General features: G+C 55.0%; 1 protein-coding gene across 1 annotated transcript in view, besides 4 other annotated features; it reads right to left on the bottom strand.

The window, feature by feature from the left end:
- The window catches only part of FOXK1 (forkhead box K1), an 89,148-nt gene continuing 70,000 nt past the window's right edge, over positions 2,251 to 21,398 (bottom strand). The window contains exons 3-9 of the mRNA NM_001037165.2: positions 19,078 to 19,234; positions 18,310 to 18,456; positions 16,506 to 16,699; positions 14,476 to 14,642; positions 14,098 to 14,382; positions 12,405 to 12,629; positions 2,251 to 11,509 (exon numbers count right to left, since the gene is read on the bottom strand). Coding sequence (NP_001032242.1) covers positions 11,229 to 11,509; positions 12,405 to 12,629; positions 14,098 to 14,382; positions 14,476 to 14,642; positions 16,506 to 16,699; positions 18,310 to 18,456; positions 19,078 to 19,234 — 1,456 coding nt within the window. The 3' untranslated portion in view covers positions 2,251 to 11,228. The remainder of the gene's footprint in view (positions 11,510 to 12,404; positions 12,630 to 14,097; positions 14,383 to 14,475; positions 14,643 to 16,505; positions 16,700 to 18,309; positions 18,457 to 19,077; positions 19,235 to 21,398) is intronic.
- Positions 12,073 to 13,272: an enhancer, noted in NCBI's record as "BRD4-independent group 4 enhancer chr7:4800052-4801251 (GRCh37/hg19 assembly coordinates)". NCBI's record gives its function as "activates an origin of replication core promoter dependent on BRD2, P300/CBP, MED14 and CDK7 cofactors, and independent of BRD4, by STARR-seq in HCT116 cells {active_cell/tissue: HCT116}" and the evidence as "EXISTENCE:reporter gene assay evidence [ECO:0000049][PMID:35650434]".
- Positions 19,387 to 19,941: an enhancer, noted in NCBI's record as "H3K4me1 hESC enhancer chr7:4793383-4793937 (GRCh37/hg19 assembly coordinates)". NCBI's record gives its function as "activates a minimal SCP1, AML or CMV promoter by ChIP-STARR-seq in naive and primed H9 embryonic stem cells {active_cell/tissue: H9 hESC(naive and primed)}" and the evidence as "EXISTENCE:reporter gene assay evidence [ECO:0000049][PMID:30033119]".
- Positions 19,501 to 19,795: a silencer, noted in NCBI's record as "tiled region #11447; HepG2 Repressive DNase matched - State 12:CtcfO, and K562 Repressive non-DNase unmatched - State 25:Art". NCBI's record gives its function as "represses a minimal TATA promoter and a strong SV40 promoter by Sharpr-MPRA in HepG2 and K562 cells {active_cell/tissue: HepG2 | K562}" and the evidence as "EXISTENCE:reporter gene assay evidence [ECO:0000049][PMID:27701403]".
- Positions 19,793 to 19,882: an enhancer, noted in NCBI's record as "active region_25562". NCBI's record gives its function as "activates an Ori minimal core promoter by ATAC-STARR-seq in GM12878 lymphoblastoid cells {active_cell/tissue: GM12878}" and the evidence as "EXISTENCE:reporter gene assay evidence [ECO:0000049][PMID:35858748]".

The following is a 21,398-nucleotide window of genomic DNA, read 5'->3' as shown; positions in this document are numbered from 1 at the left end:
ACGAATAGAGCTGCAGTGCACAATTGTATGTCTTCTGGGGTTCTGAGAGATGCACCCCTCTTTGTTGTATAGATACCAGGTTCACAGGGAAGCTAACTTTAACTGAGATTCCAACTGTGTGCCAGGAATCTCAATCTCTCTCTCCCTCTCTCTCTTCACACAGACACGACCTTAAGCAATTTTACCAGGGGTAATATTTGACTTGTTTCTTACAAAATATTTACATTAGTGTAAAATATTATTTTAAGGTCTCACTAGTGAAAAATGGTTGTGCTAATCAAAAGCAAAAAAGGCCAGGCACGGTGGCTCACACCTGTAATCCAAACACTGGGAGGTCGAGGCAGGAGGATCGCTTGAGCCCAGTTCAAGACCAGCCTGGGCAACATGGCAAGACCCTGTCTCTAAACAAGCAAGCAAACAAACAAACACAAAGACAACATCTTAAAAAGGAAAGATGCAATTAATAATTAGCCAACGCAGATCCCTGGAGGAAGCCTACATACGCTTCTCACTCATGTTTGCTATTGGGCTAAAATGTTTTTCTTTTTTTTCTTTTTTTTTTTTTTTGAGACTGAGTCTTGCTGTGTCCCCCAGGCTGGAGTGCAGTGGCGTGATCTCAGCTCACTGCAACGTCCACCTCCTGGGTTCAAGCAGTTCTCCTGCCTCAGCCTCCCAGGTAACTGGGATTACAGGTGCAAGCCACCATGCCTAGTTAATTTTTTGTATTTTTTTTAGTAGAGACGGGGTTTTACCATGTTGTCCAGGCTGGTCTTGAACTGCTGACCTCAAATGATCCACCCGCCTTGGCCTCCCAAAGTGCTGGGATTACAGGCGTGAGCCACCGCGCCCAGCCTGGGCTGACATCTTAAACTAGAACTAATCTGTTAAAGTTATGTTAACCTCTTACAATGGAAATGGAGTAACTTGAAGGAAGACAGAGAAGCAGTGAAACCTTACCTGCAATGGTGGGTAACTGTGCCATCGGAAAAATGCAAGTTATTGAACTGAGGGAGTCACATGCAAACACTACAGAACCTTGACAGAAGAGAGACATGTGACAAGCATGCACCACTGTCAAGTCTGTCGGAGGCAGTCACACAGACACACCCAAGGGTCTCATAAGTCTGGGGGACTCTCAGAAGAGACAGTGACTGATGGCATCGCAGCTGAGCTTCGGGGCGCCAGGCCTGTGGGGTGGGGGTGCCTGTGCTGCATGTGAAGAAGTGGGGCGCATTGCAAGCTGAAGTCCCACAGCTGGTAAGGACACAGTAGGAACTTGAACCCAGGTCTGTGTAGTTCCAAAGTCAATGCCATCCCCACCCCCCAGGCCCCACACCTACAATAAGTAAGGCCTGAGAGAATTTCTACCCACGTACATTTCTACCCATCTTGGACATGGGTAGAAATTCTCATCTAGCCAAGGGCCAGCAGGAAGGACCCACAGTTGCCCAGGAGCCACTGGGGCAGCAACGAGTACCTGCAAGTGCCCCCCAGCCAGGATGTGGGCGTGTGCCAGGGGCAGGGGGTTGGCTCAGCTGGTTTCTGCCTTTGCCATGTCTGAGGGGAGACACACGTTGTCTTCACATTCCTGGAGCTGCAAACATCCTCGCTTAGAGCACTCTCAGTGGGTGGGGGTCACTGACTCCAGGAGCCACAGGCACCTGCAGAAGCATCTCCTGTGTGAGCCAGGAACGGGACACCAGGGACCTATGGGCGACTTCCCTTATCAGCAGCCGCCCTTCAGCCTCTGGAGCAGGGGGGCGCAGTGCCTGTGTGTCCAGGGGGCCGGGAGCCTGTATGTCCAGGGGCTCAGGGGTCTGTGTGTCCAGGGGTCAGGGGTCTGTGTGTCCAGGGGGTCGGGAGCCTGTGTGTCTAGGGGGCCGGGAGCCTGTATGTCCAGGGGCTCAGGGGTCTGTGTGTCCAGGGGTCAGGGGTCTGTGTGTCCAGGGGGTCAGGGGCCTGTGTGTCCAGGGGGTCAGGGGCCTGTGTGTCCAGGGGGCCGGGAGCCTGTATGTCTAGGGGGTCGGGAGCCTCTGTGTCCAGGGGGCCAGGTGCCTGTATGTCTAGGGGCTCAGGGGTCTGTGTGTCCGGGGGTCAGGAGCCTGTGTGTCCAGGGGGTCAGGTGTTTGTGTATCCAGGGGGTCGGGAGCCTATGTGTCCAGGGGCCTGGTGTCTGTGTGTCCAGGCCGTCTGTCCGTCCGCCACCTTCAGTAGCCACCTGCGCAGAAGGACCACACCGGAGCCGCAGGGTCATTTCTTTAATATAGAATTTTATTTCTGGTTATAGAAACAAATGCTAAGAGGAGAAACAAAACTTCCCCATCCACATACAACAATTTAATAGATAAAAGAACAGTTAAAATAAATGAAAAACAAAAAGTAGAAATTTTAAACTTTGTTATAGCTTTAAAACATTAACGTCTGATACAATTAGAAATCACATTCAGATCTCAAACTCTTAAAAAAAAGTATGGCTCCTTATTAAAAAAATACTGTATCCCACTTGAAATGAAAACACAGGTTGCCTGCTGTTGACATGGGTGGGGCTGTCCCTTCCTCTGGTGTCGTGCGTGCCCCCTCCCGGTGCTGGGGTGCAGCCACACCCCCCCGCCGGGCGCCCACCTTCACTCCTCCAGGGTGAGACACGCAAGGTGACATGACCAGAACTTCACATCCAATGCTCTAGAACTGACATTTCCACTTCATAGGACACTGCTGCTTTTTAAAGCACTGATTATCAAACATGTTGTGAAAAATACTTTAGACAGGCGCCACTGTAAAAAAAAAAATACACACACACACACACACACACACACACACACACACACCGAACAACACCCGCCCCTCCCAAATTATTTTTACAGGAGAATAATCGTTCAGATTAAAACAACAAGAACAAAAACTCAATATTGGCTTTAACCCCTCCTGCACGTGTGCTGAGCTGCCGGCCTTTGTCATCTGCAGGGCACGTGCAGCCCAAGTGTCTGGACTCAGCGACATCTCAGGACAGACTCTGGAACACGGCTGTTGTCTCTCCTCCCGCCCCCCTTTTCCTGAAACAGAAATCAAGCCACATACATGAAGGTATTCTAGGTATCCAAAAAGCCTTTCTTGAAAAAAAGAAGAGCCAAACTTAAAATACTTGATTTGATTATTATTTTTGAGACAGAGTCTCCCTCTGTTGCCCAGGCTGGAGTGCAGTGGCATGATCTCGGCTCACTGCAACCTCCATCTCCCAGGTTCAAGCGATTCTCATGCCTCAGCCTCCCTGGTAGCTGGGATTACAGGCACACGCCACCACGCCTGGCTAATTTTTTGTATTTTTAGTAGAGACAGGATTTCACCATGTTGGTCAGGCTGGTCTCAAACTCCTCAGGTGATGCGCCTGCCTCGGCCTCCCAAAGTGCTGGGATTACGGGCATGAGCCACCGCACCTGGCCAAATATTTGATTTTAAATTCCCATTGTTACTGATTAAAAAAAAAAAATCTGGACCAGTTAACCTGGAGATTTAGAGGCTATAGACACAATTTAACATCCATACAGGCCTGTGAACTTCATGCAGAGAACAAACAAACAAACAAAAACTCTAATTCAGAGTCTCTCATTTCAGCTTAGCCAACACATTTGGAGACTTAGGGGCCAGTTCTAGAAGCTGCTTTTACCTCTAGACTCGGAGGGGCAGGCCCTGTCACCGAAGGGAGGAAAACTCTTCTTGGCTGTCAGCCCGGATTGAAGCCACTTCGCTTCCCCTGGCCCCAGCTTTCCTGCACTCTTTTCACCGTGTCTGACACAGGGCAAACCACCAACCACTCAAATGAGCAAACAATTCCAGAAAAAAGAATCCGAGATAAAGAATAACCAACTAGGAGTCTTTCCATTGTAGTATCACGCTAAAACAAAACAAAACAACAAAAAACAAAAACTGGGTAAGGAGCAAAAAAAGTGACAGAGGCCAGGCGCGGTGGCTCATGCCTATAATCCCAGCACTTTGGGAGGTTGAGGTGGGCAGATCACCTGAGGTCAGGAGTTCAAGACCAGCCTGACCAACATGGTAACACTCTCATCTCTATTAGAAATACAAAAATTAGCCGGGTGTGGTGGCAGGTGCCTGTAATCCCAGCTACTTGGGAGGTTGAGGCAGGAGAATTCGCTCGAACCTGGGAGGCGGAGGTTGCAGTGAGCCGAGATTGGGCCACTGCACTCCAGCCTGGGCGATAGAGCGAGACTCCATCTCAAAAAAAAAAAAAGTGGTGACAGAGTGACTTGGAGACCGCTTCAGTCACCTTTGGCAGCCTCTGGTGGCCTGAAATCTGGACGATGGAACTTAAGACGCAACTGGGTCACTGGGGCCTGAAGCGGGATGGGGGCGGGGGGCCCTCCGCAGCCAGTGTTCAGCAGCTTCACCAAAGCAAATAAATACATTCACGGCTTCTCCCTGGCCCCGGTATTTTTCTTTTCAACGCATTTTCCCCATGGCGAGAATGACAGGGCAGGTGCAAAGAGTGACTAAGATTCTTCCGAGGGGTTTCTCCCTGGACAGAAAGAAAGATGCCTAAAAATAAACTGACTGCCCTCTTAGTGATATTCTCTGATACTCCGGGCAGCCAAAACCAGCCATTAGGATGAGTAGAAGAAACAAAAAATTTCCAAAGCCTCACCAATTCAGAGGAGGAACGCTCACTTCAGCCCTGCACAAAAATACAAGGAAAATGCCAGTCTTGGTGACCCACAGAGCTTCCAGGTCACACTCAGGCCTCCCGGGAATGGCTGGCCCCGAGGGAAGGCCTCCACTCACTGACCCTCAGGGTTTCATTCTCCAAGGACTGGGCTGTTTCTCAGGGCAGGAGTCTGACCTCCCAGCAGCTGGCACAGACTTGGATGTGACAGACAGGCACGGCGAGGTTCATCAGTCAGAGACGAATCCTCCTCACCACTCTCCCCGCTCCTCTCTCTCTCGTGGCCTTCTGATTTGCCCGGAGAGCCTTCTCACCCACCTCCAGGAAAAGCCAGCCCAACTTCACACACCCAGGTAGCACCCCTGCTCATGGTGCATGGCAGGCCTAGCCCTGGGCCCTCCACCCTGCCCACCTTCCCGGAGGGGGTTGAAATGTTCCATCCAGCAGCAGAGCTGAGGGCTGCAGCCTCTGCCTGAGGAGGAGCTGGGACGGGGCCGGAAAAGCCCAGCAGAGACAGGGTCCCATGCCCGTGGGCTCACAAGACAACCCAAGACTGAAACTATTTTCCCTAAAGAAGTCAGTGGGCCGGGCGCGGTGGCTCACGCCTGTAATCCCAGCACTTTGGGAGGCCGAGGCGGGCGGATCACGAGGTCAGGAGATCGAGACCATCCTGGCTAACACGGTGAAACCCCGTCTCTACTAAAAATACAAAAAATTAGCCGGGCGTGGTAGCGGGCGCCTGTAGTCCCAGCTACTCGGGAGGCTGAGGCAGGAGAATGGCGTGAACCCGGGAGGCGGAGCTTGCAGTGAGCCGAGATCACGCCACTGCACTCCAGCCTGGGCGACAGAGCGAGACTCCGTCTCAAAAAAAAAAAAAAAAAAAAAAAAAAAAAGAAGTCAGTGAAATGGGTCTGTTTTTAAAATTTCAGTCCAGAGGGAAATGTGTGTGGTTGTATCCCCAAAATCCCATTCTTCTAAGCAGCTGTGACTTCGGGGTTTGGGTGACAGGGAGGACAGAGGAAAGGACGCAGCAGCTCTAATGGGACAATCCTTTCCACAGATTCAACTCCGACAGAATTCAAGCCGCACGGTGTGGGTAAGGGCCCCCTTCTCGAGGCACGGACCCCACTCGCCACCCTGCGAGGGGCCGCGGTACCCACCGAGATCCCCTGCAAAGCACAGATTCCAAACCCTCCCTCTGGTCACCAAACGTAGCAGCTTTTCGTATCAAAACCCAACCAAAAAAACAGTAAGTATGTGATGAAAACCGTGTCCTGAGCACTGAAAAACAGGCCTGGAGAAAGGAACTTTGAAAAGAAAAGGAAATTGTAAGATGCAGGAAAACAATCTAAAAATAAGGGACAGAACCGGGCGAGAGACCATTTGTTATATTTCAAATTCTACCCTCATTTCCAAGAGCCACAATACATTACCCAGGAACCTCTGGAGCTGAGTCCCGTCTACAGACTAATCCTGTCTTCATAGCAGCACATGTGAGCAATGTAAAGTATTCTCATTAAATAATATTGCTTTGAAGCAGCGGTATTGTCAAGGAGGCTCGAGGCGAGGCTGTGGGTAAACACGTTTTCATCAGGAGTGTGGCGCAGTCCCCGTGGTGGCTCCTTGCAGCAGACCTACCGCAGCCAGGCCGCCCGCAGGGCCGAGGAGGCCTCCATCCAGCGTTCTGGGGCTCTGCGTTTGCAAAGAGCCTGACGATCATGTTTCGTAACTTACTCCAGCGTGAGGAGCGCGCGATTCCGTCCTGCAACGTGAGGCGGCATGCCGGTGACTCTGAAGCCTTTTTTTAGGGGGGCTTTCTCAGAGGGGTGAGGAGGAGCCCAGGATGGACTTGGGGTGTCCTCTCTAGAGGGGTCAACAGTTCCTCATCCCGCATGAAGTCACTCAAGGGCAAAGCAGAATGTGAGGCTTCTGAAGCAAAACAGACCTGCACTCCCGCCGGCTCTGAAAGCGAAGGGGAAAATCCTTTCTTCTCCGACACCTCCCCGTGTTCCATTACGTTTTCATTTTTCCCACTGAGGTCTGTTCTTTGTCTCCATAAAAACACTGATTTCAAAGCCAAGGAAAAGCTTCCTCCTCCTCCTGAACTCACTGAATCGCCCAAAGAAGGGATTTCTCTCTCTCTCAAGACGGAGCCCTCACCCGGGGCTTTCTGGAGAGTCCCAGCTCCCCGGGGGTGCTCCAGGGAGGGCCCTCTTTATGCAGAGGACACAAGAGCATTCGCTGAATGATGCCTGTGATCTCAAACCAGTACAGAAAATGGACCCAGGAGCCGGGGAGGCGAGGCCCAGCTGGGCTCAAAACTTCTTGGGGGCTTCGGCAGTCTGGAGGGGGCAGGGTGAAGCCCCCGTCCTGGCCCAACTCCACCGAATCCATCTCCTCCCTGCCTGAGAAGCACAGAGCGTGGTACCTAGGAGCAGGGAACACTCAGCAACTCAGAAATTCATTCCCAGCTTTTTCACTTGGCATTGTTCTTAAATCAAAGAAAAGGGAGATACAAATAAACAGCAAATCCCAAAGAGGACCTACCAGACCTCGGGAAGGAAAGTGAGGGGCGGCAGGTGTGAGACACACATGGCTCCACCCGCCTGGTCATGGTCCCCGCCACCAGTGTCTTCCCAGCACTGCCTGGAGGGTCTCTGGATAGGGACCTGAGGGTCTCTACATGGGGACCCCACACCAGCGTCTCATTTCACCCAGAGCGCATGGCGCCCTCTAGCGTGAAGCCAGTGGGAGAAGACTGGGCCGCGGCAGAACCATGAGGCCACACTCGGCCCGACTGGTGAGGGATTAACGTTGAGGTTTTTAGGAATGTAGAAAGCAAGCAGAAGAGGGATGGTCCATCTGGGTCCCTCAAAGGCATGAGTGACAGATTCCACCCTCAACGGAGGGCAGGTGTCACCGGGAGAACTCCCACATGGAAAGAAAGACACAAGTGGCTGAGGATGGGCACACACCGGGATACTGGGTACCATGCCCTAGACAGCCAGGTCTCCCTGAGCTCCTCTGGCCCCGCGGCTCCGTGGACACTGGGCTGGTGGCAGAAGCTGGCACGAGAGAGTGTGCCCTGAGCCAGCTGCTGCCCTAGCAGCCTGGGGACGCTCAGGCCCTGCTTCCCCACTTCCCAGGGGCCACCAAATGGCCTCGGTGGATGCCTTTGCTCTACTTAAGACGTTCTTTTTGGGACTTACCTCCTAGCCAAAGCAGGTGTTTTCTTGTATTTGATAAACCTGGCAATTTATCCAGCAGGAGTCAGGAGACAGAAGCGGGTTACTGGGCCCAGGGGCTCTGAGGGAGCCCCTTTCCGAACAGGGCAAAGCAGGAGGGGCCCTTCCCAAAGCCACTACTGTGACCTGCTGTTCTCATCCGCTGTGGACCGTGCCCCCAGTCCCTGGTGACCAGAGAACAGGCCCTCAGCCTCTGCCTCCCCAGTGACCCCAGAACGGGGCTGGAATCAGCTACTTTTGCTCCCCACATTCCTGCACATTGCCCGGGTCAGCTCACCCTTGAGAACCTAGAGAAGGTTCTTGGGTCCTGGCTCCACACGGCTCAGGGTCACAGGCCGCCCAGGCTGGGGGCTGAGGCTCTCCCGGTCCCCCTGGCCTGTGCTCTTGCTTCTGCGAAAGCGCCTGGCTGGGAGGCGCTTGCTGGGCTGGCTCAGGGCACACAGGGAGGGCTTTGTGGCCGGGACATGCAACCCTTTTGGGCCCTGTCCCTTCCTGGGCCTCTGGCTACCGGTTCCAAGACAAGTTCCGGCATGAGCCAGGCATGGTACCTGCTCAGATGACCAAAAACTCTTTCAAAATCTCATGGTTATGAGCCCAGAGCAGTGGATCCAGGACCCAGGCCTCCTCTCCTTGCCCTCCTCTCCCTGCCCTGCTCCGAGTCTGAGCCGACCCCTAGGACCACGTCCCTTCATCCCTCTTTGCAGTCCCCGCAGAAGCTAGACAGTGCAGAACCCCACACGGCAGAATGCAGCCCCGGGGTCCTGTGCTCGCCACCTCCCGGCTCCATCCACCACCCCCTTTCCACGCCCTTGGCAATGAAGCAGTGAAATCAGAGAACGCTACCGCTAACAGGAAGAATGCGCTGCGTCTCAGAAGCCAGGAAACCACGTGGGTCAGGGCCAGCCTGAGCAGACCAGGCCAAAAGGCGACCTCGATTTGTGACCAACACGTGGTGCAATCCCAGCACGCGGCGCTCCCTGCAGACATCAGCTTGTATTGAGGAGGCCAACCTGCAGTGGCCCAGAAGCAAACAGAGGTCTCCCATCAGGGTGGCCACAGGCAGCCCTGAGGACATATAGTCACCACGCGGGAGAGAGCAGCAGCAGGTAATCACAGAGGCCCCCCGTGACGGGCGCTCCCGGGAGGGCGCCGGCTCAGGCCACACAGGCACCGGTGTCGGGGAGCCACCTCCAACCCCCACCCCCCGTTCTCTCACGCCATGCACGCACACACCAGGCACCACGGAAAGAAAAGGCCCACAGACAACAGCAGGCGACACAAGTGTGGAACGGGGCGCAATCTCTCACCCTCCACGGACGTAACTGCACCCAGGACAGCCGGCTGTGTTCATCCTGCCCCCGTTTCTCTGAAACCTCACCCAGGGCAACAGGTACGGACTTCCACAAAGAGCTTATTTCCCATGGAAAGGTTAGTGCCATAGAAACGACTCAATTCGGGGGGCTTAGAAAAACAACGGGACACGGGAAGGAAACCGAACAAGGGGTTTTCTCTATCTAGGTGGAAGGAGGGGGCCCACAGAGGTTCTGCACTTGTCCTGGGGGACGGGGACTCTGATGGGGGCCACGGGCGACCCCACTCCACTGCACAGCACGTGTGTCCTCCCGCACTGCCTCGGAATCACTTTGAAAAGTGTTCTCCCTTCTTCTTCAGGGAGACACCTGTCCAGCCACCTCCCTCAAATGCCCTCCAGGCACCTGGGTCCCTCTGCAGCTCTCCCGCCAGGGCCTGGGCAGAGGCTGCTTTGCTGGTGAGAGGCTGTGATGCGGAGGACGGGCGATTTCCAAGAACCACTGCTCCTCAGGCACTTCCGGAGCTCTGCGTCGAATCTGTCGCTGTTTCTCGTTGTGGTCCCGGACAGGAGAGCCAGCGCCGGAGCGGCCAGCAAAACTGACAGCTGACCTTTACGAGGACGCACTTCGCATCTCCAAGACACACTGAAGGACTCCTCTCTCCTTCCTGAGCTGGGCTCAGCATTAGACAGCTCTGGCTCAACGCTGCTTGGTGACAAAGATCCAGGAACCACTGGCTGTCTTAATGGAAGTGCAGGAGGGGGCTTCCTCAGGGACCCCAGAACCACCCAACTGGCTGGAGCATCCCGTCCTCCGGTTCTCACCGTGTGGCAAACAAAACCAGTCGCGTTGGCGGGGGCTGGGCGTGGAGGCACAGGCCTGCTCACCACTGCTGCTGGGGTGGGGTCTCCTGCTCACGGACAGCCCAGGGAGGGGCCCTGGAGTTTCAGGCAGGAGAAATGGTTCCAATTGAAAACAGCAGATCAATGTGGGAGTGGTGAGGACTCTGCAACTGGGTGAAAAAGCAGCTGGAGCAGATGGCGTTTGGCACTGTTAGGTCCCCATGTGGCCGTCAGCACCGGGACATCGGAGCCACGGATAATTCGGGAAGGTCTGGTCTGCAGAGCAGCGGCCCCAATCGTCCCCAGCAGCGCGATGTCTGCGGCCGGCGGATCCAGGCTCACCTTTCATCCTAGGAACCTTCCACCGCGAACGCCAACCCAGGAAGCCGCTGCTCTTACTTGAAGTTATCAGACAGAGCGGCAGGTTTACTCTTCGAGGGGATTAAACCCAGCGGGAACCCTGGACCTACGGCCGGTCATCAGACGTCAACAGGTAAAATCCTCAAAAATACATGATCCCTTTTGTGTCTGTCTCAGGTGTACAATGAAGTCTGAATTCCATGTTTAAACAAACAAAGAAAAACTTGGGGTCTGAAGTGAAATCGGACACCCCCCGAGTTAATGCCAACACTCTCTATGTCACGTTCCGGGCGGAGAGGCTGTTAGGTGGTCCGTGGCTCGGCAGCTCCTGGCTTCCCAACAGGCATCTGTCCGGTGCCCGGGCCTCCCCGGCAGCCTTGGTGTGTGCCTTGCTGCGTTTCTGTCTGTCCTCCCGGACAAAGGCGGCTGGCCGTGCAGCGCGGAGCGGAGGGGCTGTCTTGACACATTCCTCAAGATGCTGAGCTCCAACCTCCTCCCCATGCCCGACAGGGAGGCCTGGGGAGAGGAGGTGGTGCCGAGGGAGAAGGAAAGGAAAGCAAAGAATTCCCAGAATCATACAATCAGTTGTCTGAACTTGTTTATGTGTTTTTGTCTTAAACCACGGGAAGGCAGGCGATCAAATGGAAAGGGCTGGGTGTGTCCAGGTGCCGCCGATGCCCACAGGCCGCCGCGGGCTGTTCTCCTCCGTCTGTGGGTGCGGCCGCCTGAGCTGCCGGGTCCAGCTTCGGGGTCGCCGCTGGGTGAGTCCCACTCCCCCGCGTTGCAGGTGACCTCACTCCCCGGTGCCTGGCCCCTGGGGGCCGGCAGCTGCGATCACTCCAGCCGGTGTGGTTACAGCACCACTGGGCTCCTCCACCCGGGACCTTTTGACCTCGGGCTCTCCAGTGGAAGAGGCGGAGGCAGAGGCGGTGGTGGCAGTGGCTGGGGTGGTGGTGGCCGTGGCCGCGACGGCTGCTGCTGGCTCCTTGGGCCCCACCTCGCACACCCGGGTGACCACCACCGGCGCGGATGAACTCGCTTGGGTCGCAAGGAGCTGCAAAGGGCTGGTGAGGGCTGGAGTGGAGGAAGAAGAGGGTTACTCTGGGGTCTGGTTAGGACCCAGCTGCTTTTTTCAAGTCCCCTATACAGGGGCTAAGCCACCAAGCCGGAACCGGAGGTCAGTGCACCCCTGCCAGGCAGGACGGCTACCCTTGCTCTGCTCCCTGCGGGCCCTGCCGTCCCCTCCCCACCTCATCTGCCCTGTCTCTGCTGGCTCCAGCCTGTTGGGTGGAGGCCCCTCTCATTGCTGTCTAGATCCTGCTGGACATCGACGGCTTGCCTCACTCCTTTACACAGATGCACTGCCCTGAGCCACCCCACTGACAATGCGCCCGGTGCCCTGGTACCCTGCACCCCCGCCCAGCACCCTTGCACCCCAGCACCCCAACTCTCCTCCTTCCTTTGACCTCTTGCCTCACCCCATGGAGTGTGAGCTCCAGAGAGTGGGCAGATCTGGGTTTTCCTTCCACCCTGTTTTCTTTCCCCCCACTTTTTTTTTAAAGGGACAGGGTCTCGCTCAGTCACCCAGGCTGGCAGGTAGCGGAGCAATCACAGCTGACTACAGCCTCACTCTCCCAAGCAGCTGGGACCATGAGCGTGCAACACCACACCTGGCTAAGTTTTTGAATCTTATGTAGAGATGGGGTCTTGCTATGTTGCCCGGGCTGGTCTCGAACTCCTGAGCTCAAGCGATCTGCCTGCCTTGGCCTCCCAAGGTGCTGGGATGATAGGTGGCCCCTTCCACCCTCTTTTTCTTTGCATTACCCCAGTGCCTGGAGTATAGCAGGTGCTCAATAAATTGAACTGAGTGGAGGATCGGGAGATACTGGGAGAACATTCTCATGCCGCACTGACTACTGGGAGCCACAGAGCTTGGGATGTGGCATGGAGAACAGGGCCAGGGCCTCACCGTAAGCGTTGCCGGCTAAACTGTTCGTGGGAACCGCATGCTTTCCGTTCTGGGTCACGGCCCGGACTGGAAGGTGGTGCTGCCCGAGGGTCACGGGTGTGGCGGGCTGCAGGATGGTGACCGTGTGTCCGGGGACCCCGGGGGCCATCTGGCTGGCCACCGTCTGGATGACTCCACCAGCCGCGGGGATTGTGGCAAACGCAATGGTGGGTTTCTCCTCCAGGCCTGCGGGACAGGAACCAAGTCAGCACCACACTCGGCCAACGAGACAATCGATTTCCTCGACGCCTGGGCAGCAGGTCGGACAAGTGGGGAAAGTGAGGTCGGCACTGGGAAAAAATAGGTTTGCTAGAGGAAAATCCCATGGGTGAAATAGGTTTGGGAAGAAAATTACTAGGGTTTTAGAACAATATTTTACTTACTTATTTATTTTTTGAGACAGAATTTTGTTGCTCTGTCGCCCAGGCTGGAGTGCAGGGGTGCCATCTCGGCTCACTGCAACCTCCGCCTCCCGGGTTCAAGCGATTCTCCTGCCTCAGCCTCCTGAGTAGCTGGGACTACAGGCGCCTGCCACCACACCCGGCTAATTTTTGTATTTTCAGTAGAGATGGGGTTTCACCATGTTGGCCAGGCTGGTCTTGAACTTCTGACCTCAAGTGATCTGCCTGCCTCAGCCTCCCAAAGTGCTGGGATTACAGGCGTGAGCCACCGCGCCCGGCCTAGAACAGTATTTTAAATACCTTAGCTTTAACCAACCCAAATTTAGTCTGAGAAAGAAAACGTATTACTTGGAATGAAATGATCCTGATTACAGCTGTAACTTGGCCTTCCCTCACCAAACTGCAGTTTCATTACGGCAGCATTGAAACAAACACCACCGCGGAGAGGAAGTCCAGGGTGGAGAGTGGCCTAGGAGGGCGCTGCCTAACTGCAGGCGTTCCGGAGAGGAGCTTCTGGGGTCAGCTGCATGTTCAGTGTCTACCCCGTCAAGCCCTGGGATCGGATTTCTTTTAGCAATTCAGAACTACTTTTTCCCTAAATGACTTCTAAAGTCTTTAACTTACGAGGGAGTCGAAAAGAACAGTCTTCCCAGGCTCATTCTTTCTCCTGCAGAAAACACTAAATTCCAAATGCATGCAAGGCCGCAACACAACTCAATTTAACGTTACCTTAGGGCAAGGACACAGCTATGTGCATCCGAGGGCCCTGTTCAACAAGGAAGGACACATCTGCGGAGATTCATGGGTTTTTTTTTTTTTGAGACAGGGTTTTGCTCTGTCGCCCAGGCTGGAGTGCAGTGGCGCAGTCTAGCTCACTGCAACCTCTGCCTCCAGGCTTCAAGCGATTCTCCTCCCTCAGCCTCCTGAGTAGCTGGGACTACAGGAGCGCATCATCATGCCTGGCTAATTTTTGTATTTTCAGTAGAGACGGGGTTTCAGTATGTTGGCCAGGCTGACCTCGAACTCCGGACCTCAAGTAATCCACCCGCTTTGGCCTCCCAAAGCACTGGGATTATAAGCATGAGCCACCTGCCCAGCTCATGCTGATTTAAAGGGACAAGGCAGCGAGAGGCAGAAGCAGAGAATCATCCTCCTCAAGCCCCAGGCCCAGGCCAATGGCGCTGCCTTGGGGACTTGCCGGCCGGGACCACCACAAAGGGTCCTGCGAAGGCTGCCAGCCGCGGCTGCATTACCTCTGGCCTCGCTGCCCAGGTCCAGCACGGCTGCGCCCGCCGCATCATGGGAGCCCCCCGCCGCGCCCTGGCTGGTGAGGATGTATCCGTTGGCCGAGTTGGCAGATGTGGTGACCACCCTGACCATGGTGACGGTGGGGGCCTGCTGCACGACGTGGATGGCGTGGCCCGCGGGCTGCTGTGAGGTTACGATGGAGGCGGGCATGTAGGCCACGGGCTTGGCCACGAGGCTGGACGGTCGGGGAGGCACGGCCATGATCACTGGCTGGGCGCTGACGGGGGAGCCTGCACGGAGGGCGGAGAGCGGACGGTGACCCCTCCCGCACCCCCACGAGTCCCGCCCCGCCCCGCCCCGCAAGAGGGCCGCCCGCTCCTTACCGGGTGCGCTTTGGGAATACCGGTACTCTGGGACAGAAGCTAACTTGGACCCAAACTCAGGGTCGTGTGGAATGGGGGAGCCCTCCCGAGACAGGCACTCTGGGGTCTGCAGGCCGCCGGAGCGAGGGGACATCAGCCCGGGGTGTGTGGGCGAAGCTGGAGCGCTCCTGGAAGACAGGCAAGGGCCGCGGCAGTCAGCGCCCGCGCTGAGGGATGCGAGGACGTTTCCGAGACATCACGCATCTCAGCGCCGTCACCCGCCCACGCTCCCTGGAGCTCGTCTCTGTCCTCCGCATTCAGACGGTGAGAAACGCCCCCGTAACCTGAACCCAGCCTTTAAAACTCCATTTGAGTGGGGGCTGCATGGGGGAGGCTCCGTTCCATGAGAGGGGACGGTATCATGTGAGGTGCTGCAGTGAACGCAACAACCTACGGAGTTCACTTCCACCGAGGTCCAGCCAGGTGTCCATGAAAATGGCCCAGGCCTTCTGTGCCAAAAACATAAGCTTCTGTTTGGTGGGCGCAACCGTTCCACCATGAAAACTCTACCCGAGAGGGGTGTTTGAACGTCATTTGGAGCTCAGTTTAAATGCTGCAAATGACGTTCGAACACTTTTTTGAAGTCCTACCTCAACCATACGCCCAGTTCACCTGAGAATCACAATGCCAGACCCTGTGCTCGAAATGAATTTTCAGATATTTCAATCTTTCATCAAATCGTGTTGGAAACAGAATTTTGAAATGGGAAGCACGAGAGGTTAACGTGTCCTTCCACGGGGAAGGATTTCCGAGACTGCCGCTCAGGAGATCTCCTCCTCGACACCTGGGACGGGCTCATCTGATGGGCAACCTGGGAAGCGCTGCCCAGACCGCTCACAGGCGGTGCATGCTCCTCCAGACTGGGCTTGGCCAAGACTGAGCTGGGCAGGGGAGGCCCTGACGCAGCAGGTGGGCAGCAATGGCTGGGGGAGGGTCTGTCCACCCCGCCGGCAGCAGAGCTGCGTTCCCAGCATCTGCGAAAAGCAAAGGCGGTTGTGGGCTCCCCAGGTCATACCCCTCATCTGTCCCTTCGAAGATTGGGCTCTCCCCGGGTCCTCTCACACACTGCAACAGAAAGCTTAGTGCTACCAAAAGACCCACAACCGCAATCCATTTATTCTTGGCCTTAGGAACCGTTCCTATTGCTACACACATTTCCACTTCTAAGAACTAAAATCTTATTTTTAATACAACAGTCAGTGGCTTACTTAGTAACCTTACTATTTTAGGAGTTCTTGGTCCTGAGATATTCTCTCAAAACAAAAACAGAAAATGGTGCAGTCTTTAAGTGCCGAAACCAGCAGTCACCCCTCGGTACTTGAGGGGCGGGGGTTGTGGGTACCAAATCTGCAGATGCTTACCCAAGTTCCTCATAGAAATGGTGTCGCATTTGCATACAACCTGTGCACATCCTCCTGTAAGCTTTAAATCATCGCCAGGTTACTTATAATCCCTAACAAATGTACCTGCTATGTAAACAGCTGTTGTAGTGTGTATTGTTTCATTTGTATTACTTTTTTTTTTTTTTTTTTTTTTTTTTTTTTGAGACGGAGTTTTGCTCTTGTCGCCCAGGCTGCAGTGCAGTGGTACATACAATCTCGGCTCACTGCAACTTCTGCCTCCGAGATTCAAGCGATTCTCCTACCTCAGCCTCCCCAGTAGCTGGAATTACAGGCACCTGCCACCATGCCCGACTAATTTTGAATTTTTTTAGTAGAGGCAGGGGTTTCACCATGTTGGCTAGGCTGGTCTCAAACCCCTGACCTCAGGTGATCCACTTGCCTCGGCCTCCCAGAGTGCTGGGATTACAGGCGTGAGCCACCGCGCCGGCCTTCTTTTTTTTGGAATATTTTTGACCTGTGATCAGTTGCATGCCCGTACACTGAGCCTGAGCCCACAGATCCGGAGGGCTGACTGCGCCACGTATCTCTAAACTCCAGGGCAGCTCAGCTTTCCTAACAGCTGGAGGACGGGCGCTCAGAGAACTTTACCTTGAGGACAGAGGCCCGAAGGGGGTGCGGAAGCAGGAGACACCCCTCTGCCTCCGTTTCCGGAATGCCTGTTCCACGAGCTTGGCTTCAGAGGCAGGGTCTATTCGCCAAAAGGACCCCTTCCCAGGCTCCTCCTGGGAACGTGGGACTTTGATAAAGTAACGGTTCAAAGAGAGGTTGTGCCGGATAGAATTCTGCAGGGAAGCAGAGATATTCACCCATCACCAGCAAATCAGAAAATGAGTCCCACCCACCTCAAATCTGCAGCAGATGCGGGACCAGGGTGAGGGGAGGCCGTCCCTCTGTGCAGAGCCCTTGGTGCTGTGCTGGCTGGGCCTCACGGGAGCAGCACCGAGGCACAGGGCAGGTCATTCCTATCAAAATTTGACACCGCATAATTACCATTTTACCTTTTTTTTTTTTTTGACGGAGTCTCATTCTGTCGCCCAGGATGGAGTGCAGTGGCACGATCTCGGCTCACTGCAAGTTCCGCCTCCCGGGTTCAAGGGATTCTCCTGCCTCAGCCTCCTGACTAGCTGGGACTATGGGCGTGGGCCACCATGCTGGGTTGATTTTTTTGTATTTTTAGTTGAGATGGGGTCTCACACTCTTGGGCTTAACCAATCCTTCCACCTCGGCCTCCCAAAGTGCTGGGATTACAGGCATGAGCTACTGTGCCTGGCTGCCATTACCATTCTTTACAGAAAAAGTGAAACAGAAAGACAGATCCTGGTCTAGGAGCACATCTGGGAGAAAGAAAACACTGGGTCTTGGCCGGGCACAGTGGCTCACGCCTGTAATCCCAGCACTTTGGGAAGCCGAGGCTGGCAGGATTACCTGAGGTCAGGAGTTTGAGACCAGCCTGGGCAACATGGTGAAACCCCATCTCTACTAAAAATACAAAAAATAGCCAGGTGTGGTGGTGGGCACCTGTAGCCCCAGCTACTTGGGAGGCTGAAGCAGAAGAATCGCTTGAACCTGGGAGGCGAAGGTTGCAGTGAGCTGAGATCGCGCCACCACACTCCAGCCGGGATGGCAGAGCGAGATCCTGTCTCAAAAAACAAACAAACAAACAAAAAACCAAAGCTAGTGGATGCGCTACACTGACATTGGAGAAAATACAGGCAAATGCAACATGCATCAGTCATGGCTGGTGTGGACAAAGCTCTTAAAATGCCATCCACAATTCAGACATGTGGATTGTTTGAATAACAGTATATGGTACATTTTTCCAACTTAACGTGGGATTGTGAGGCACAGCAAGCACAAAAATCTAACAAGGTGTAGATCCATCTTCTCAGTTCTGGGGCTCAGAAGAAGGAAACTAATAAAAAAGAGTATTTAGACACAATGGTATCACAGCGCTAATGCCTTTCAGATGTACCATATGCCATTCGTGAAAACATCCCTCTTTTATATTTATCTTCTTAGTTAAAAAGATATTTTTTTTCTTTGTAGACACAGGGTCTTTCTCTGTCTCCCAGGCTGGAGTGCAGTGGTGTGATCATAGCTCACTGCAGCCTCCACCTCCTGGGCTCAAGTGATCCTCCCACCTCAGCCTCCGAGTAGCTGCGACCACAGGTGTGCACCACCACACTCAGCTAATTTTTAGTAGAAAAGAGGTTCTCTCTATGTTGCACAGGCTGGTCTTGATCCTCCTCCTGCCTCGGCCTCACAAAATGCTAGGGTTCCAGGCGTGAGCCCCCTCACTGGCCCTCTTCTGTTTTAAGGGAAGCAATATGCCTGTGAGTTCCATGTTCTAAGGGCCTTCAGAGGCGATCCGGCCCTGGGGACTCGGCTTCACCTGCCAGCCTTTGTCGGCCGTCCGGTAGTAGGGGTAATGCTTGGTGATGTGGGCGTAGATCCCGCTCAGGGTCAGCTGCCGGTCCTGGGCGGAGGAGATGGCCTGCACGATCAGCTGCGCGTAGGAGAACGGCGGCTTTGACTCATCCTGCGGAGAAACACGGCTCACGGGATGAGCTCCAGCAAGGTCCCTGAGTCTACCCCACCCACCCGTCACAGCTGATGGGGAGGAACCTTCCCACGAGAATGTGCGCGTCTTGCCGGCACCCGTCCCAGTGCCCTCCAACTATCCCATTAATGTGCTTGCATTCAACTAGGAACAACCATTTTTGCCTCATGGGAAGGAAAACTTCGGTTTTATTATAATTTAATTCTGAAATTTCTCACCTCTTCCAGAAATCAATTTGAAAACAGCTATTGGACAAAAATGAACTAAGACAAAGTTATAAGGAGAACGCCATCCTGCTCAAGGGCTGTATGAAGGCTTTGACGCCGGGCTGCCAGCGGCAGATGAACAAGGAGCGTGGCGGGAGGGGCCCTCGGTGACGGCGCCACCCCTGTCACCAGCAAATGACCAACGGGGATGATTTGGGCACGAAAACGAGAAAGGGCCGACGGCTCTACCGCCAGCTGCGGCTCCATTCCCTGTGGGCTGAGACCACCTCGAGCACACGCCCGCAGGCCCTGGGCTGTCTGTGCCGCCCGCGCCGGGTCACTATGGCCCGATCCTGGGTCACCAGGTGCACCACGGCGCCAGGTGGGCTCAGACCTTGGGGCTGTCTCCTCCAGACGTGTCTGCCTGCTGCTCCGACGCGGCCTTTGCTGCAAACTCTGCTGCCAGCTGCAGGTCCGAGGTCACGTTCTGCACAAAGCGGTAACTGGAGGAGCCGGCACCGCGTGGACTGGCTGGGCAGGAGTTGGGGACACTGAGGAGAGAGAAGGACACTGTAAGTTCATGGCTCTGAAGAGGGGGCCCCTGTGGGGCTCAGGGCTTCAGGACCTACCCAGAGGGTGGGGCTGTGGGGAAGAAGCTCACACTTTCCAATTTTAAGTGCCACCACACTGCCCGGCCAAGGTCACGCAGCGGCGGGGACAAGATGCTGGAAACGGCAGGCAAGTTTCCTTCCAGTGGTGACTTCTGCTCGGGGGCTGAGAGCACCGCGGGCCCTCCTCCTGCCATTATGCAGGGCCCAGGGCAGCACCTGGTCAGGCAGCTCTGTGGGGCCCCTCCTCAGGTCCCCCCACACACACCCCTACAGGATGTGCACCCGGAGCAGGTAGCCTCCGCGGGCTGCTGGCTCCTGCACAGGTGTCCACAAGGCGGCGCTGTGGGAAAAGGCTCGGGCCCAGGACAACCCCGTGTGGTCACAGAGGCAGATCCTGGAAAGAGGCTGTGGAGGTGCCATCGCCCTGCAGGGTGAAGGCGTGGCAGGTGGCTCTCCTGGAGACACCGCCCTCGGGAAGAGATGACCCCTGCAGTTTTGCCCTGAGCCGCTGAGATGCCCCTGCCCTCATCCCCTCTCCCTCCCAGGCTGGAGCAACCACAGATGGCTGGGAGTGACCGACACCCCCGGCTGCAGGTGAGGCTCTGGGTTGAGGCCGGGACCACAGGCAGGAGGCTGCGTCCGTCCGGCTGAGGGGTGTGCTCTGGCCTGCTTCCCTAACTCACTAAGGCAGGCTTCCGTCAGCAAACCACGGCGATGTTTTGCTTCTGAAAATGATTTCTATTACAGGTATTCAGAGAAAGCCAATGAAGACACGAAGAGTGGGTGCAGAACCTCCCGAGAGAAAGAGATCCCACTGTCCTGAGCTCACGGGCACCCACCTAGCCCCGTCCTGAGATGGACCCTGCCCACCTGTGATGCTGACATCCCCCCTCTCAGCTGACTTAGAGCCCCCGTGGCGGGTAGGATGCTCCCTGCTGCACTGCCCTGCAGGCCACCCAGAACCATCCAGAACCACCCAGAACCATCCAGAACCATCCAGAAGGTCCATTCTCCTCCTCCCGCCTTGCTGCCCTTTCCTCTGCCAGGAACATCCTTCCCTAACTGTCCAGGCACAAGACTCCTAGATCTCCAAAACTTAGGTTAAGTAGGAGCCCCCTTGGGTGCAGGCGGGGCTCAAGAAACATTTTTTGGATGGAGCAGAGGAATGAATGAAAAAAATCCTGTGGCTGAGAAAAACCTGACAGCTGACATTAATGATCAGTTCAGGTCTGGGGCATTTTCAGGAAGGACTCAGTGTCACCCACATGGAACGTTAAGGACTCTGATCTGGAATTCCCATTCTCTCTTACAACGGACTCCCCAAATATGGCAGAGATAGGTAAGTTCCACACGTGTCGAAACTTAAATGAACACCCACAAATGGCTCGATCGAGGTAGGAAACAGTCAAAAGGAAACCTTTTCTGAATTTAGTTCTGAATCCAAAATACAAAACCCAAGTTTACAAGTAAGATGAGAAGGGGAGAGAAAGGTTTTGACTGGTAACAGCACACAGCCCCCAAAATCGGCTTTGTCAAAGGCCTCTGGGAACCAAACACCTCCCTGCTGAGGCAGGATGGCCTCATGGCCGGAGGGGCTGCAGACAATGGGGCCAGCACACGCCTGTGCACCCGGTCCCAGACCCAAAGCCACTGGACGTCCCCCTTGGACTCAGCAGGAAGAACTGAAATGTCAGTCCTTGCTGGGGACCACTGAGCCGAGGTGTCACTCACATACACTCTGATCTCCGGCCACAGGCTGGGGAATGGCCACTCAGCTCGGAAAATCTCATCCGAGGCCCATGAGGTGGCAGGCGGGCTCCTGGATCCTTCCTGAGGACCAATGAGGGGCACCCCCCAGCACTCCACAACAAACAGTGATGGCCCAGCACGTGTGGCAGGGACCTGCTCCTGTTCCCAGCAGTTATTTTGCAGAAGATCATAGAAAATTCATGTCTGCCGGGTGCGGTGGCTCATGCCTGTAAGCCCAGCAATTTGGGAGGCCCAGGCAGGAGGATCGCTTGAGCCCACATGGTCGAAACTAGCCTGGGCAACATAGTGACACCCCCATCTCTACAAAAATATTAACATTAGACAGGTGTGGTGG

This window comes from Homo sapiens, chromosome 7 (assembly GCF_000001405.40).
Source record: "Homo sapiens chromosome 7, GRCh38.p14 Primary Assembly".
Classification (NCBI taxonomy): Eukaryota; Metazoa; Chordata; class Mammalia; order Primates; family Hominidae; genus Homo; species Homo sapiens.
This window is presented reverse-complemented; position numbering and strand designations above follow the sequence as displayed.